Raw genomic sequence first — 15,251 nt, forward strand, 5'->3', positions numbered from 1 at the left:
ACCCAGAACCCAAGGCTGCCTGGCCACACTACAACCAGCGCTGCAACCACAGTCCTGGTGCCTGGCCTGGCGCCTCCTCTGCCTGGGTGCGGCACTGCCTGGCCTCATGCCCTGCTGGCATCGGCCAAAAGGAGAAACTGCTGTGACGTGTACGGTCGGGGCCGGGCCATCAGGCCACCCGCTGCTAATATAAATCTTTAGTTTGGCTGCTTCTGGCCTTCTAGCGAGTTGAGGGGATCAGTTTGGATTGTGAGGCCCGTATTGCTCCAGGAATTGGTCTTCAACTGCTAAAGACTGGAAAGCATTTACGGACTGACTGTCTATGACACACTCAGCACACAGCGTAGAAATACCAGATTCACGTCCACAGTACACACTAGCAGGGATAGTTGACTTTCATCTTCCCCTGCTCAACTTTTTTATGACAAGGAATTTTTATTTTTTATGACAAGGAATTTTTAAACCAGAGCAGGCTGAAAATAATTGTTTTTTGTTTTGTTTTGTTTTCTTTTGGACGGAGTCTCACTCTGTCACCCAGGCTGGAGTGCAGTGGCGTGATCTTGGCTCACGGCAACCTCCACCTCCCGGGTTCAAGCAATTCTCCCACCTCAGCCTTCTGAGTAGCTGGGACTTCAGGAACGCACCACAACTGCCTGGCTAGTTTTTGTATTTTTAGTAGAGATGGGGGGGCGGTTCTCCATGTTGGTCAGGCTGGTCTCGAACGAACTCCCGACCTCAGGTGATCCACCCACCTCAGCCTCCCAAAGTGCTGGGATTAAAGGCGTGAGCCACCGTGCCCCGGCCATATTGAAGGTTTAAACTGGCCACAGGGTCAATTATGGTCTGCGACTACCTTTATATGAAGTCAAAGTAATCCAGAGGGGCCGGGCGGTGCTGCTCAGCCTGTCCGGTGCATGTGCAAACCGGAAAGAGCTCATCTGCACAGCTAGTGTGGAAGGCCCGGCAGGGGGAATGAAGGATTGGCCATGCTGCTTCAGAAGGACGACAGCGGGCCGGGGTCCTGCACCCTCTCGGACACCTGTGTGACAGGCATTATCACTGCACGTTGAGGGAGGGCTTGCTCCGGCAACCTAAGGCCACACCCTCCTTTTACCTCTTTAGTTTCATTCTTCGATTTTCTACCCTTTGGACATTAAAATCTGTGAAATGCTCTTGTGAAGATGAAAGAATTTCTAGATTCTCTCAGGAATGGAGAAGAAGGTGCTTGCAGACAGCCCTTGATTGATACCCTCTTTCAGAGCATTTTTAATTGTGTTTCCACCTGGCTGTTTTTAGTGTTTACTTGTCCAAACTTCTGTTTAGGAGCAATTATTCCCAGAGGGATGGGTATTATAGATGTTTAGGAACGGCAGAACTTTCCACTAGGAAGCAGCTAAACAGCCCGAGAGGCTCCCAGCACCAGAGAGGCTGAGAGCTTCCCACGTGGCATCTGCAAGCTGGGCAGCATTTCATCGAGTGGGAAGACCATGAAATACACCATGACGCAGTCATGAGGAGTCAAATATTTCAACAGGCGAACCAAGAAGGCAAACAGGGAGAAAGGAAAGAGCCGTGAGCACGCGCTATCTCCCAACATCCCAGTGGTCGGGATCCTCACCTTTTGATGAGCTTGATGGATTTGAAGGCTTCGTCCATGTCTCCTATGGTGACAAAGAAGCTGAAGTGGAGCATGGCGTCCCGGGTGGCCTTGTCGCAGTCCTCCAGCCCCACAAAGTCTCGCAGGGGTCTCCTGGACACCATCTGAGGGATGTGGTGGCACCCAGGCTCCACCTCGTCTTCTCTGTCTGCTTCTTCGGGCTAAATGACAAAGGACCCATGTGTTTGTTAATTCATATGTAAAGCTGAAGCCCTCACCCAGACCTCGTCCTCTGGATTTAGCTCCCTTATGGGGGAGAAATCCCTCTGCAGACAGACAGATATTTACCAACAGGCCCAGTCCCTGCCAGATGCCCTGAAAACTTTTAGGGTCACTGGCAATGGTCAGAGCTTTTGGCTCTGGCTTCAGATAATGGGTAAGCAAAGGCTGCCCGTGCAGGAATTTGTTTTTTAAACTCTCTTAAAATTAAGTAACAGGAGCATGATTTCAGGTAGAATTTTCCAAAACAATAACCTGGATTGGCTGTGTACCCTCTACGGGTATTTTTCAGGAGAGCCCTCAGCCTGGGCAGTGAGGCCCCGCATGGCACAGGGAGGGACGCGGCTGTGGGCCCAGTGTGGGAGCACACTGCTATGGCTTGCTGGAGGCCCATCCTCACCTGGGCATCTTCTTACACCCAGTTCCTGGAAATCGGTGCTCCCGAGGGACCACTGGCCCTCCACGAGCCCCTCCAACTGCTTGCCTCTTCTTTAATCATGGGTCCCTTCCTCCGTGGGGCAGGGGCTCTGCACGCGCTCTCTGGGCTCTAGCCCTGCCCCTCATCTGGATCCCGTTTCTCTGAGAGCACACGCACTCCCCCGTGTGAAACGGATCACGACGCAGCCTTCTGGGGTCAGGCTTCCCTGGTCTTGTATCTGCTATTCTGTGACTTCCTGAAGGGTGACTCCAGCCACCTGCCTCCCCAGCTGCGCTCCCATCAGCTCACTGCTCCTGCAGAAACTGACTTGCGGCCCCGGTGAGTAGGCCTCATGGGCGAGACGGCACTTGGCCTGGGTCTCAAAGAAATCTGGGGGATTTGTCAGACGCAGTTGTGATGGGGAGGCCCTTCTTGGCACAGTGCAGAGCATAAGCAAAGGCCCCGAGGCCCTGCAGAGAGGCGATGGAGTGGAGGGCCTGAGGACGGATGTGACTGGGGCCCATCTGCAGGGTGCTGAGTGCTGAAGGGTTTGGACTGCTTCTGCCTTGAGTGGAAACTGTCAGAAAACGTACACGCACAAAAACAACAGGGAATTCCTGCCTGCTCTGGTTTAATAAACTGCAAGGAAGCGCCCTGACCTCTGATAACAATGTCAGCTTGGTGTGGACAGAATGGGTACCCAGTTCGCTGTGTGAATGGGAATTCTCATCATTCACCATGTCCTGCTCACAGCTCTGTGAGGGAGGGACTGTCTATCCCACGTCACAGCTGACCAGTCACACGGTGCAGAGGCAGGGTCCTAAGAGCTGCTGGACCCGGATCCACCCTCATACCTCGGAGAAACTAGGCCGAGCCGTTTGAAAATGTGAACAAGGGCAGCGTTAACAGACAAAAGACGTCATGGCTAGTCCTCACTAGACTTGAATGGCTGAGTTACGAAAACTCCCTCTATTGCAAATGTAGGTAAACTAAGTACTTCCTGTGTCCCACACAGCAGAGGAAAGAGCTGCTGTGTCACATGTCCCAGCCATGACCACAGCTGGCTCCTGATGAGCTTTGCTAGGTGAGAGGCATCCTGCTCAAATAAAGAGAGCTGACACTGAGTGTCTCAGGCTTCCAATAGACCTCGGTAAAGCGAACATGCAAGGTAAGCAGAAAGTATCGGTGCACAGACAATTGTACTGAAAATAAGGGAGGAAAAGGATCTCAGGAAAACAACCCGGTGAAGCAAATGACACACGACCTGGGCGTCTGTACTTACGACTGCGTCATACACGCCTGCTCTCTGGAACAACAACTATGAGGAGTGGACGCATGCGGGAAGGTGAGAAATGAGAGAGAAAAGAACAGATGCATGAGTGTGTGCAAGACACAAACGCCACCATGCAAAATTAATGGGGAAAAACTCAACAGAAATAATGTAAAACATTGTTAATGCTTTGAGTTCTGAAATAAAAGAGAAATTAAAGCACATAAGAAACGTAAAGCCAGCATGAAATTCGGAGGAACGCCAATCTGGTGACACTTGTCTATTAAAATACGGGAATTAAGGAAACATGCATTGACAGAGCAGGGAGCCCTCCATTTGGCGAATCACACGATGCTTTCCCAGTCTTCATGAAGCCAGACTGCCTCCACCGCAGGGAACAGTGTGACGCATAAACCAGCACCACGCCGGCCTCTGCTGGCTGTGCAGCCTGGCTCTACATGGTGACCAGGAACACGGCCGCCAACCGCACCCAGGTTCGCGTTTGTGTGAATGCTGTTAATTCATCACTGCACACAAGGTTCCAGCAGAGCCCGAGGACCAGAGGCCAGCACACACCTGGTCACGTCATTGTCACAAGTTAGGCAGTGCCCCACCCCACCACCACCGTGTCCTTTATGCCAGGTCCTATGAAGGTGAATGCCAGCTCAGGGGTGTGTGTGGAGCCGGTGCGCCCGCGGTCCACCGTGGTGGCTGCTGGTGCAGTAGCATCTGTGTTGGCTTCTGTGGCCATGCAGGGCTGCCTGTCCTTCCCCTTCTCGGAATGTCCCTCTGGGGTCTACGCTCCCTCTGTCCCAGTTTAAATGCTCCCTCGACCCACCTTGGGTTATAAAAGTAACACAGGCTTACTGAAGAAAATTAGAAAAGTACAGAGTTCATTCTTAACATCGATAAGCCACTGCATGTGGAAATTCAAAAGCAATCCAGGTCCGAGTCTACAGGGTTTAGTCCTTCCTCTGATTTGACAGTAAACAGGAAGAGGCAGAGAAGACTCTGTGCGTGTTGTTTGCTGACGGAGTGTGTAACAGGAGAGAAGCTTCCATGTTTCACAGAAATAAAAGCAGCAGCAGCTGGTGGCATCCTAGGTCCCGAAAGGTGGAAGCTGGTGGCCCCCTGCCTCCCGCCTGCAGAACCCCTGTGGGGCTCACAGGCCGGCGCCAGCTGGGACGTGAGTCTGAGCCTTAGGTCAGCCAGGCTCCTCTCTGAAAAATCCCCACACGTGACTCGGGATGCTCCCAGAGGCTGAGAACAACAGGTCAGTGAAGCGAGGGGAGCAGCTCTCTCAGAGCCAGGCACTCCACCGTGTCTCAGAATGCTCGTGGGGCACACATGGGCTGCTGTTCTGCAGAGAAGCTGCAGATCCTTTGATCAGCACGCCCTCTCAGAAGCAGAGAATGACTGTTTCAGGTCCAAAAGGGACCTTGGAGACACGGGGACCAAGTCGCAGAGAAGGAAATAACTTGTTCAAAAGAACCTACTGGGGTGTGTGTACTGATGACGATCCCATTCTCTCAGTAATTTAAAAACACGTCCATGCATGAGTCACACACGGACGGGTGTCCAGAAGCCAGAACCCTACTGAAAGGAGCCACCAGCCTGCCCACAGTGGCTGCCTCCAGGCTGGGATTATGGAGATTTGTACTATTTGGGTCTTTACTTCATTCTTTGTAGTTCCTAAGATCCCTACAGTGAATATAGAAATGCATAATTTTAAGAAGGCAGCTAGAATTTTAGAAAGACAGAAAAGCTAAAAAGGTGTTCAGCATTCGGGGAAAAGGCAAGGGGGAAGGGTGCAGAGTCCTGAGTCCTGCCCGAGAGCTCCTTCACCCGGAGACAGCACTCATTAGCACGAGTTCTCTCTATCCTGAGAGCAAAACCACTTCCAATTCTCCCCAGACAGACCGCAGTGTTTGCTGGAATTTCAGGCGACAAGTGAGACTGGATGGCTGATGCTGTCTACGGAGAGGGAAGCCCGGCAGAGCCACGAGGGCTAACTCACATTTCAGCTCCCTGGGACGCTTGCAAGAGCCCAGCCAGGCAAGGGGAGAGATCAGAAGACACCTGTGCGGATGTCGTGGCTTCGTACCTTTCTTGTGAAGTAGTAATAAGGCACTTCCATCCCCAGGAGACTGTGGGAGGTGGCAGGCCGGGGGAAGCTCTCATGAAGCAGGAAGCCGTGCTCTTCGGAAATGAAGAAGGACAGGATCAAAACATCTGCCTGGGAGAGAAAGAAAAGTACTGTTCTGTTTTTTTTTTTAACTTACATAAATTTCTGGGGTATGAGTGCCATTTTGCTACACACACTGCGTCACGGTGGGGTCGTTGCTACACACTGCGTCATGGTGGGGTCGGGTGCTTTGCTTTGATTACACCACCTTTTATCTGCTCCACTTGGGAAAAACCAACACGCCTACTGGAAGGACGCACCTCGTCCAGCTTGCGACCACTGGACTCTCCCAAGTGACTGATTTTCTTGCAGCAAAGGCTCATCATTCCCACCCTGAACTGGTGACTGCAACTCAAAAGAGCTTTCATGGTTTAAAAGTTCTCCCTCTTTGGCGGCTTTACTCTGATTTAAAAATCAACAGTAGCAGGCTGCGCACAGTGGCTCACGCCTGTAATCCCAGCACTTTGGGAGGCTGAGGTGGGCGGATCACGAGGTCAGGAGTTTGAGACCAGCCTGGCCAACGTGATGAAACCCCGTCTCTACTAAAAATACAAAAATTAGCCAGGCGTGGTGGTAGGCACTTGTAGTCCCAGCTACTTGGTAGTCTGAGGCAGGAGGATCGCTTGAACCCGGGAGGCAGAGGTTGCAGTGAGCTGAGATCATGCCAGTGCACTCCAGCCTGGGTGACAGAGCAGGACTCCATCTCAAAAATAAAAGAAGAAAAAAAAATCAACAGTGGCACCACCAACAAAGAGCCCCGACCCTGCTTTCAAGGAACAGGGAACACGCAGCACAGAAACCACATGCTCTGTGGGTCCATTGCACAGAAGCAGAACAAGCAACACCAGGACATGCGCCCATACCTGCAGCTGCTCTGGACAGGAAACCAGAAGAGGTGAAGGGAAGGCAAAGCCTTTCCTTGCTACCTGGTGTGAGTTCAGACAAGGGCGCATCATCACAGAGCAGACAAAGAGCCCTAGGATCAAACTGCCAGGAGACGGCCCTACCTCCCTGCCACGTCTCCATCTTCCCCGGGTGTCAGCCCGCCCATCCTCCCAACTGCCTGGGTCACCCCCACAGCCTGTATCTTGAAGTGGCGCCTCGGGCAGTGTCTTCCCCTCCCTGCTCTGGTGGTGGAGATGCCACCTGGACGTGTCCTCCCGCTCAGCGCCTGAGAACCAAGGGTGGATTTGCTTCTGAACTCAGGGTATCAACACTGACTGCAGATAACTTTTTTTTTTTCTTTTGAGACGGAGTCTCACTCTGTCGCCCAGGCTGGAGAGCAGTGGCGCGATCCCGGCTCACTCCGCCTGGGAGGCGGAGGTTGCAGTGAGCTGAGATTGCACCACTGCACTCCAACCTGGGCGACAGAGAGAGACTCAAAAAACAAACAAAACAAACAAACAAAAGATTTCTTTCCTAGAGAGAGAATCACATGTAGCAGTTGAGACAAGAGAACCAAAAAAATGCCATTCAGGTCAGACCAGACAGTAAGTGTGGAGCTGGCCCATGGGCATAAACCTCAAAGAGGAGACACCACACACCGTGGCTTTTCTGCATAGCTCAAAACAGACCTAGCAATGGCAAATCCATAGAGGTGGCATCGAGGTTACAGTGACGCTGCCATCAGTGGGAGCTGTGAGGCAGATGCTCTACTCCACGTGAACGAATTTTCAGGACCCCTTTCCCAGACCCCATGCTAGGAAGATTTTTTTTATTAATTCTTATTATTATTCTTTTTTAGAGACGAGGGTCTCAATATATTGCCCAGGCTGGTCTCGAACTCCTGGGCTCAAGCGTTCCCTCCCGCCTTGGCCTCCCACAGTGCCGGGATCACAGGCGTGAGCCACCGTGCCCAGCCCATGAAGATCTTAAGTCTGTCAAATGGCCACTGAGTGTGTCTAAACTCAAATACAACAGGCAGAGCGTACCGCAGGGCCAGCGCGCCCATCTTGGGGCTGCCCGTTTGCAGACTGAGGCTGGGAGCGCGGCGTCTCCTGCACGGCTTCGCATACAAACAGCCGGGGCTCACTCTGGTCCCAGAAGTGGTTCACGGGAACATAATTTTTCAGTCCCTCATCCACAAAGAGGTGGCTCCTAAAAGACAAAGGAAGACCCGTTTCAACCCCAGGGCGGGCACTCCTGCTACCAGTCTCCCTCCCACACACATTCCCGAAGCCTCCAGGTGCTGTCCCAGACCATGGTGTCCACGCGCTCAGCTCTGGGAGAACTTTTGGGGTCTCACTGCCATGCGCCCTACTGGAACATGTTCTCAGATTTTAACAACTGGGCTAAGGGTCCGAGCAAAGCCCAGTTTGAAAGAACCACAAAAAGATGACGCTTTGATTCTGGAGGCCTTATGGGGGCCCAGAAGAATCCCCAAAGCAAAAGGGACCCTTTTCCTTTTCCAGGACCAGCAGGCCAACCTCGAGGTGGGATGGCACCCCCTGCTGGGCGGGGTCGAGGCTTTGGCTCTGTGGTCATGCCGGGTTCCTTGTCCCCACCGGTCCCTGTGCCATGCTGCCCCTTGGACCCAGGTCCCTCCCATCTCTAAAGTTCTATGTTGGATGGGTCCAGAACTCAACAAAATGCTGTGGGGAAACACAATGATGTGCCGGCAGACGACACACAAGGTTTCAAGAGAGAGCAGGTGCCCAAGGTGAGGAGGCCTATGAGCCTCATTCGCCGCCCCCAGGGTGTCACGAACCCAGGCTGCAGAGTGGGACCCTGCCGGGCAGCACGACCCATGGCTGCTGAAGAAGGACAGGACCCGGTGCTGCAGGACATGAAGATCCCCTAGTAAGCCACTGCACCCAGCAATGGAGGTGCCCTCACAGCCACGTTCGGCACCAGTGCAGAGCAGAGCAGAAAGCAGGGCAGAGGGGCGAGTGCCATGCTCCAGACAAGGCGGCTCTGAGGCCCAGAGAGCCCGGGGACACAAGCTGGTTCCCGTGAGGTGAGACCGGCCTGGTACGGGACGGGAACGGACAGAAGGCAGGGGGCAAGATTCGAATGCAGAAAGGAACTCAGAGGCTCCCACAGCTCCCAGGGGAAGCCACACACGGCAGGCGCAGAGTCGAGAGGGAAAAGCATGAATGAAAAGACATTTTGGTATGAGAAACGCTGCGGACCTGGGTGACGGGCAGTGGGGACTAGAGGAAGGGTTCGAGGAGCGGCCCAAGAACAGTGGCAGCAGGGGGAGAGCTGGCACTTGGCCAAGTCAGGCATCATTGTCTGAGGTGGGAGAATGGGGCCTGCACTCGGTGAGCTGTGAAGATGGAGAGTTCCACAGGAAGTCACTGGCAGAGGGATGAAATGAGGCCACCAGGTGAAAGAAGGTTCCAGCACTGGATCTGAGGCGGAAGGTGTGTGGGAGAGGCAGGGGGAATCCAGGGGGGCTGGACAGAAGGGGTGTGTCTGATGGTGGTCAAGTAATGGAGGAGGGAAAAAAAAAGAGAGAAAACCACCCCCGAGCCCAGCCTTGTAACTGCTCTGCTCCTCTGTGAGCATATGCAGGCCCCAGGGTGCCCGTCCTGCTTTCCTGCCCTGCAGGCCTGGCTCACGCAGGCTGGGCGGGCTCAGCTCCGTGGCCCACTTTGCTTTTGTGCTTCACTTTGTGCAGAATCAGCCATGAACTGTGAGTGAACTATCATCAGCACTCAAAGTTCTCCAAATGCCCATTCAGTCACAGAAGGAACTCCAGATATAGTGAAGACAGACGATTGTTCTCCCCAGAAGTACATTCTTTAAACAGGCAAATGCCCCCCTACATGAGAGACGCGGATGGGTCTGAGGTCACCACATTTCTCTCCCTGCAGTGACTCATGGGCCACTTCTACAGATTCCCGGCCAGAACCCTTCCAGAAGTTCCAGTTTCCACTCAGCTAACTCCAGAACCTTCCACCTGAAGGACAGAGACTAAGAACTCCAATCTACCCACTGCCAGAGTGTGCTTCTGTTTTCCTCTTTCTTTTTCCTACTGGTGCCTGCTGGGGCCTTTTGAAGGCGCGTTAACTTAGCAACAACCCGCCCAGAAGCCGAGAAGTAACTGAACATCATTTTTTCCAACAAAATCCTCCTGAACCACAATCTTACTTATTAGTCTCTTGCTCATTAAAGGACAGCGTCTCTCTCCGATCAATTTGTCCAGTCTTGAAGTCAAAGACGGTCACTGTGTCCATTTCAACATCGTAGAAGCAGATTTTGGAATCAGGGCTGTTGTCAGCCTAGGAGAAGAGAAAACCAGAAAGCTCACGGAGCCTGCCCAGACCAGCGGGTTGGTGGGCTGTGCTAGGGGACTGACACAGCACATGTCAAGAGAAACACACCCAGTGTCACCAAGTCCACAGGCCACTCATCTTCCAAGGACTAGCATGCTTTCAATATTCATAATTTGTTGGTTTTGGTGTTTTTTGAGACAGGGTCTCGCTCTGTTGCCCAGGATGGAGTGCAGTGGTGCGATCTTAGCTCACTGCAGCCTCCGCCTCCCGGGCTCAGGTGATCCTCCCACCTCAGCCTCCCCAGCAGCTGGGATTGCAGGTGCGGGATAACCGTTCTCAGCTGAAACTCCTTTATTACAGCTGAACTTTTCCACTGCTTCCTTCTGCCATGGTCAAGTAGGCCCCTTCTGCCAGCCCCTGCCTCCTCCCAGCCCCGTGTTCTCCCCCATGGCACCTCCGGGACCCTGTGCTTTCTCTCTCTTTTGGGTCTTCCCGTCAGTGTTAACCCCTCAGAATGCACCCTCGACCTTTTTGAGGCTCCTGGCTGCCTCCTTCTCCCAGTGGCCCCACCTCCCTGGCGGCACCTGCTCACCTGGCTTCCCAGGCCCCATCTGGGTTCTCAGGGCCACAGTGGCCACTGTTTTTCCTCCTTGGGGACATCCTCTCGCCTGTCCCTTGAGCTCCGCCTGCAGCCCTGGCCCTCCCTTCTGACCAGGTGTGGGACTGCCCACTGGCTGCCTCCCAGGCACCTGCCCTTCTGCTCATCCACCTTTGCAGCAAACATCTCCTCACCCAGTTTCCTTTCCCACCTGGCTGCAAAGGTTAGAAACACCTTCTGCAGCCCTGTCCTGCCCTACCCCTCCGCCAGTCCATCGTCAAGCCCCACTGCAGCTGCTCGAGCCCTCCAGTGGCTGCCACGGGGACCAAGTAGGCATCTGCACCCACCGACCCTTTGATTCATCTTCTAGAAAGAACCCTCTAGAAAGATGATATTGACATTATCCTCATCCTTCTGCCCTGAGGTGAAAGTCCCACCTGCATCAGCCTTGGCCCTGCCCTTCACCACGAGTGCAGACCCTCGATGAGGACAGGCTTTGCCAATGCCGGCCTCTGCCCTCTGCCCTCTGCTGTCCCCACCAGTCCTCACCCGCTCACTCTCGCCCCAACCTTGGCTGGGCTGTCACCCCCTCAGCAGGCCTGGCCGGAGCTCCACAGCAGCGCAGTGCTGTGCAGTTCCACACCCTCCAAGCACACGTGCCTCCTTCCCTGCTCATCCACAGGCAGTGGGCGGGGTCCTTGTGCTCACCTGAGCACCTCTGTGTCCGTGGTGCCTAGCACAGCGTCTGGCCCACGGCAGGAGATCAGTCACGGCCCTTGAACAAGCGAATGAACAAGGGAACCCGCACCAGCGGAAGGGAAGGAACCAGGGAAGGAACCAACCGGCTCCAAACAGCGCTGCCATGCCCTGCCACCCCTGCCAGACCCTTCCATGTGGCTGCCGCTGGCCCTCTGCACACCAACATCACCCTGCCTCTCTGAGTGGGACGCCTGAGGGCTCTCCAACAGTCCTGTGCCTCCTCGCGTGCCAAAGAAAACTGAGTGGGATGAAGAAGGCAGGGATGAAGAGGAAGCGAGCAACTCTCCAACAAGGAATCGACTGTTTCGATGAAGGAGGACTTGGAGAAAGGCAGGGGACAGAAGATGGCAGGTCGGGGAGGAACAGAGGCTGGGTGAGGACCATGCTGGGGAGGTTCCCGGAGAAGGTGGGAGGGAGAGACCCGGGGAGACGAGGGGAAGGAGAGTGGGGCTGAACAGAACACAGGACAGGAAGACTTGCACAGGAGGAGAGAGGCACGAGCAGGCAGGAGGCCTGGCCTGGGAGGACAGAGGTGAGGAGGCGGAGTGGGCGAGTGGACGAGGGGTGGCCTCACCTTGCTGGGGAGGATGCTGATGGTGCTCCCGCTGCTGCTGCACCGCAGAGAAGCGATGCCCCCCACCCCAGGGACCAGCTCCGCCAGGCTCCTGCAGCTACAGTGTGCTTTGGCCTCTCTGCAGGGAGGAAGAGGGACCTCAGTGCCCGCCAGAGGCCCAGTTCCCAATTCTCCGCCCACCCTGAAACCTCTGTTCACCGGATGAGTGCTGCACAGCTCTTAGGCTGCTTCTCACCCTGGGTGGCGCGTGTGCACCATGAGGTGGGGCAAACGCAAAACACAGGGTGAGTTCTTCCACCTCAGGTACTCTTACGAACAAGGACGAATATGAGTGCTTCGTCCCCTTCCTCTTGTTCAAGTAGCTTATTAAAAATGCTGTTCTAGGCCAGGCGTGGTGGCTCACACCTGTAATCCCAGCACTTTGGGAGGGTGAGGCAGGCAGATTATTTGAGGGTTGAAGCCAGGAGGCGGAGGTTGCAGTGAACCGAGATCATGCCACTGCACTCCAGCCTGGGCGACAGAGTGAGACTCCATCTCAAAAACAAAAAACGAAAAAAAACAAAACAACGCTGCTGTACGCCGTTCTATACCTGGAGTTTGTGCCTTATGCTCTGTTTCCGCGATTTTTCGTAGCACGTGGGGACTGCTTCATCGCCCGCTGTGACAGCTGCACAGTTTCCCGTCATAGGGACACACTGAGCTATTTAACTCGTCCCCTGCCAGTGACATTTAGCTGTTTCTAGTTTGTTGCTGACATAATCAATACAAAGTATGTAGTGGTAGCTTGTTTTTTTTTTTTTTTTTTTGAGACGGAGTCTCGCCCTGTTGCCCAGGCTGGAGTGCAGTGGCGCCATCTCGGCTCACTGCAAGCTCCGCCTCCCGGGTTCACGCCATTCTCCTGCCTCAGCCTCCCGAGTAGCTGGGCCTACAGGCGCCCGCCACCGCGCCCGGCTAATTTATTTTTGTATTTTTAGTAGAGACGGGGTTTCACCGTGTTAGCCAAGATGGTCTCGATCTCCTTGACCTCGTGATCCGCCCGCCTCAGCCTCCCAAAGTGTTGGGATTACAGGCGTGAGCCACCGCGCTCGGCCGTGGAATTCTTTTCTATGGGACACCTGTCTCTTCTCCTCTATTTATTGACTTACTCATATCATTCGGACTCACACTAGTCATTTTTTTACTTTGGTATATAATTCAAGCTTCTTTCCTTCCTCCCTCCCTCCCTCTTCCCTTCCCTCCCCTCCCTTCCCTTCTCTCCTTCCTTCTTTCCCTCCTCCCTCCCTCCCTTCTTTCCCTTTTTTCTTTCTTTCTTTCTCTCTTTTTGTCTTTTCCCTCCACTCCCCTCCTCTCCCTCCCCTCCCCTTCCTTTTCTCTCTCCCTCTCTCTCTCTGAGACAGGATCTCTCACTCTGTCGCCCAGGCTGTAGTGCAGTGGTGTGATCTTGGCTCACTGCAGCCTTGACCTCCTGGGCTCAAGTGATCCTCCTGCCTCAGCCACCTGAGTAACTGGTACTATAGATGCAAGTCACCATGCCTGGCTAATTTTTTTTTTTTAAGAAATTGGGTTTCACCATGCTGCCCAGGCTGGTCTTGAACTCCTGGGCCTAAGCAATCCACCTCTCTTGGCCTCCCAATGTGCTGGGACTTGCAGGATGAAATGGGCCACCCAGAAAAAAAAAAAATAATAAATAAATAAAATGCTGGGACTACAGGCATGAGCCACCGCATCTGGCCTGCTTTATTTATTTTGTTGCTCCAATTATTCCAGCTTTGGCTATTAGGACCTCTTTTGGTGGGGTCTGTGTCTCTGTGACCCCCACCCTGCCATCTTTATGAGGTTTTTTGGTTTGCTTTGTTTTTAGCACTTCCTCACTTTCGGGCAGCACAGATGCTGCCAGCTCATTTGTACATTTCCTGTCCTGGTCCTAGAGTCAGCATCTCTCCAAGGATCCATAGCTCCTTTATTGGAGGATGGTGGTAGAAACCAAGGTCTGGGCACCAGGTGTGCCTGCTGGGACAGGGTTGTTGCTTCTAGGCCCTCTCAGCTGACAGAGTGAGGAAATATGTGTGTACCAACGGGTACATTGATACAGACCTACGATTCTGTGTATGGAGTCATCCCTACCTACATGAAGCCAGGGATTTGTTCATGCTGACACCTCTACCTCTGATCCACTCTCCCAGGGCCTATTCTAGTCCCTCCACTTGCTAATCTGTAACTCCCACTCCCACTCCCACCACGCGATGCCAGGCTCCTGCCATCTACCCTCCATTTGCTCAGCTGTCCAATTCCAGTGCACACGCATCACAGGATCAGCGTTGCTCATCCCAACCCCTGTGGGGAGCAGAATTCTCCACTAGAGAGCCGAGCTCCTGTGCAGTTCCTTCGGCCTAAGTGCTCGCCAGGGCCTCCCCTCACTCCCAGAGCCACTTAGGTCAGCACTTTCCCCCCACACCCTTTAGTGAAGCTGTTTCATACATTTGGTAACACAGTGAGACTGTTTTGTTACCTTCTGTGTTCCGTCCTGGGGTCCTCTAACATTCTAAGTGATTTTTTTGAGACAGGGTCTCACTCTGTGGCCCAGGCTGGAGTGCAGTGGCACAACCACAGCTCACCGCAACCTCGATCTCCGAGGCTCAAGCAATCCTCCCACCTCAGCCTCCCAAGCAGGTGGGACTACAGGTACGTGCCACCATGCCCAGCTAATTTTTAAAAGTTTTTGTAGAGACAGGGTTTTGCTATGTTGCCCAGGTTGGTCTCAAACTCCTGGGCTCAAGCAGTCTTCTCGCCTTGGCCTCCCAAAGTGCTGGAAATACAGGTGTGAGCTACCCTGCCCAGCCTGAATGATTTTTTAAACATTTGTATACATTAAGGTTCACACTTTGCACCATAAAGCGCTATGATTTCCAACAAATGTACAATGTCATGCACTCATCATATAGAAGCTTCCCCACCCTCACCACTCCCTGTGCTTCAACTATTCAAGCCTCCTCTCCCCGACACGGCTCCACCACCAGGCAAAGGCCAGGAACTGAGCCCCAACATGAGGCATTCGAGAGCACAAGTGGCATGTCGGTGTTAAAATGGGCACCTAAGGAGTCTTCTGGCTTCTAACTCACTTTCTACCCATCACACTGTCTCCTGACTGACTAAAAAAATGTTCACACTTCTATTTGGAAAAAAAATTTACCTTCGGGAAAGATCAAAGCTTTTAAAGTGAGCCAAGTCTGTCCCTACAACCAGGAAATTCCCACAGATGTCCAAGAAGCAGGGATTCCCCTCAGTCTCCGAGAAAAGGAGGAGTTGTTTGACAGTCCCCTGAGGAAAAGGAACAAGAAATGGATATATTTC

At 53.5% G+C, this 15,251-nt stretch overlaps 1 protein-coding gene across 25 annotated transcripts in view, besides 2 other annotated features; it reads right to left on the bottom strand.

Annotated features, from left to right (window-relative positions):
• IFT140 (intraflagellar transport 140) overlaps positions 1-15,251 on the bottom strand; it is a 101,646-nt gene that overhangs the window by 45,890 nt on the left and 40,505 nt on the right. For 23 of the 25 annotated variants that reach the window (NM_014714.4, XM_006720990.4, XM_047434969.1 and 20 more), the window contains 6 exons: positions 15,091-15,218; positions 11,901-12,018; positions 9,845-9,975; positions 7,681-7,846; positions 5,669-5,800; positions 1,619-1,818 (listed from right to left, as the gene is read on the bottom strand). In NM_014714.4, the coding sequence (NP_055529.2) occupies positions 1,619-1,818; positions 5,669-5,800; positions 7,681-7,846; positions 9,845-9,975; positions 11,901-12,018; positions 15,091-15,218 (875 nt within the window). Of the gene's footprint in view, positions 1-1,618; positions 1,819-5,668; positions 5,801-7,680; positions 7,847-9,844; positions 9,976-11,900; positions 12,019-15,090; positions 15,219-15,251 lie in introns of those variants that run through there. The other 2 variants (XM_047434971.1, XM_047434970.1) reach the window with 2 other exon arrangements.
• Positions 3,337-3,522: a silencer, noted in NCBI's record as "fragment chr16:1609654-1609839 (GRCh37/hg19 assembly coordinates)". NCBI's record gives its function as "represses an EF-1alpha promoter that drives an FKBP-Casp9 reporter gene in an ReSE screen in K562 erythroleukemia cells {active_cell/tissue: K562}" and the evidence as "EXISTENCE:reporter gene assay evidence [ECO:0000049][PMID:32094911]".
• Positions 5,489-6,098: an enhancer, noted in NCBI's record as "H3K4me1 hESC enhancer chr16:1611806-1612415 (GRCh37/hg19 assembly coordinates)". NCBI's record gives its function as "activates a minimal SCP1, AML or CMV promoter by ChIP-STARR-seq in naive H9 embryonic stem cells {active_cell/tissue: H9 hESC(naive)}" and the evidence as "EXISTENCE:reporter gene assay evidence [ECO:0000049][PMID:30033119]".

Source organism: Homo sapiens, chromosome 16 (assembly GCF_000001405.40).
Source record: "Homo sapiens chromosome 16, GRCh38.p14 Primary Assembly".
Lineage (NCBI taxonomy): Eukaryota > Metazoa > Chordata > Mammalia > Primates > Hominidae > Homo > Homo sapiens.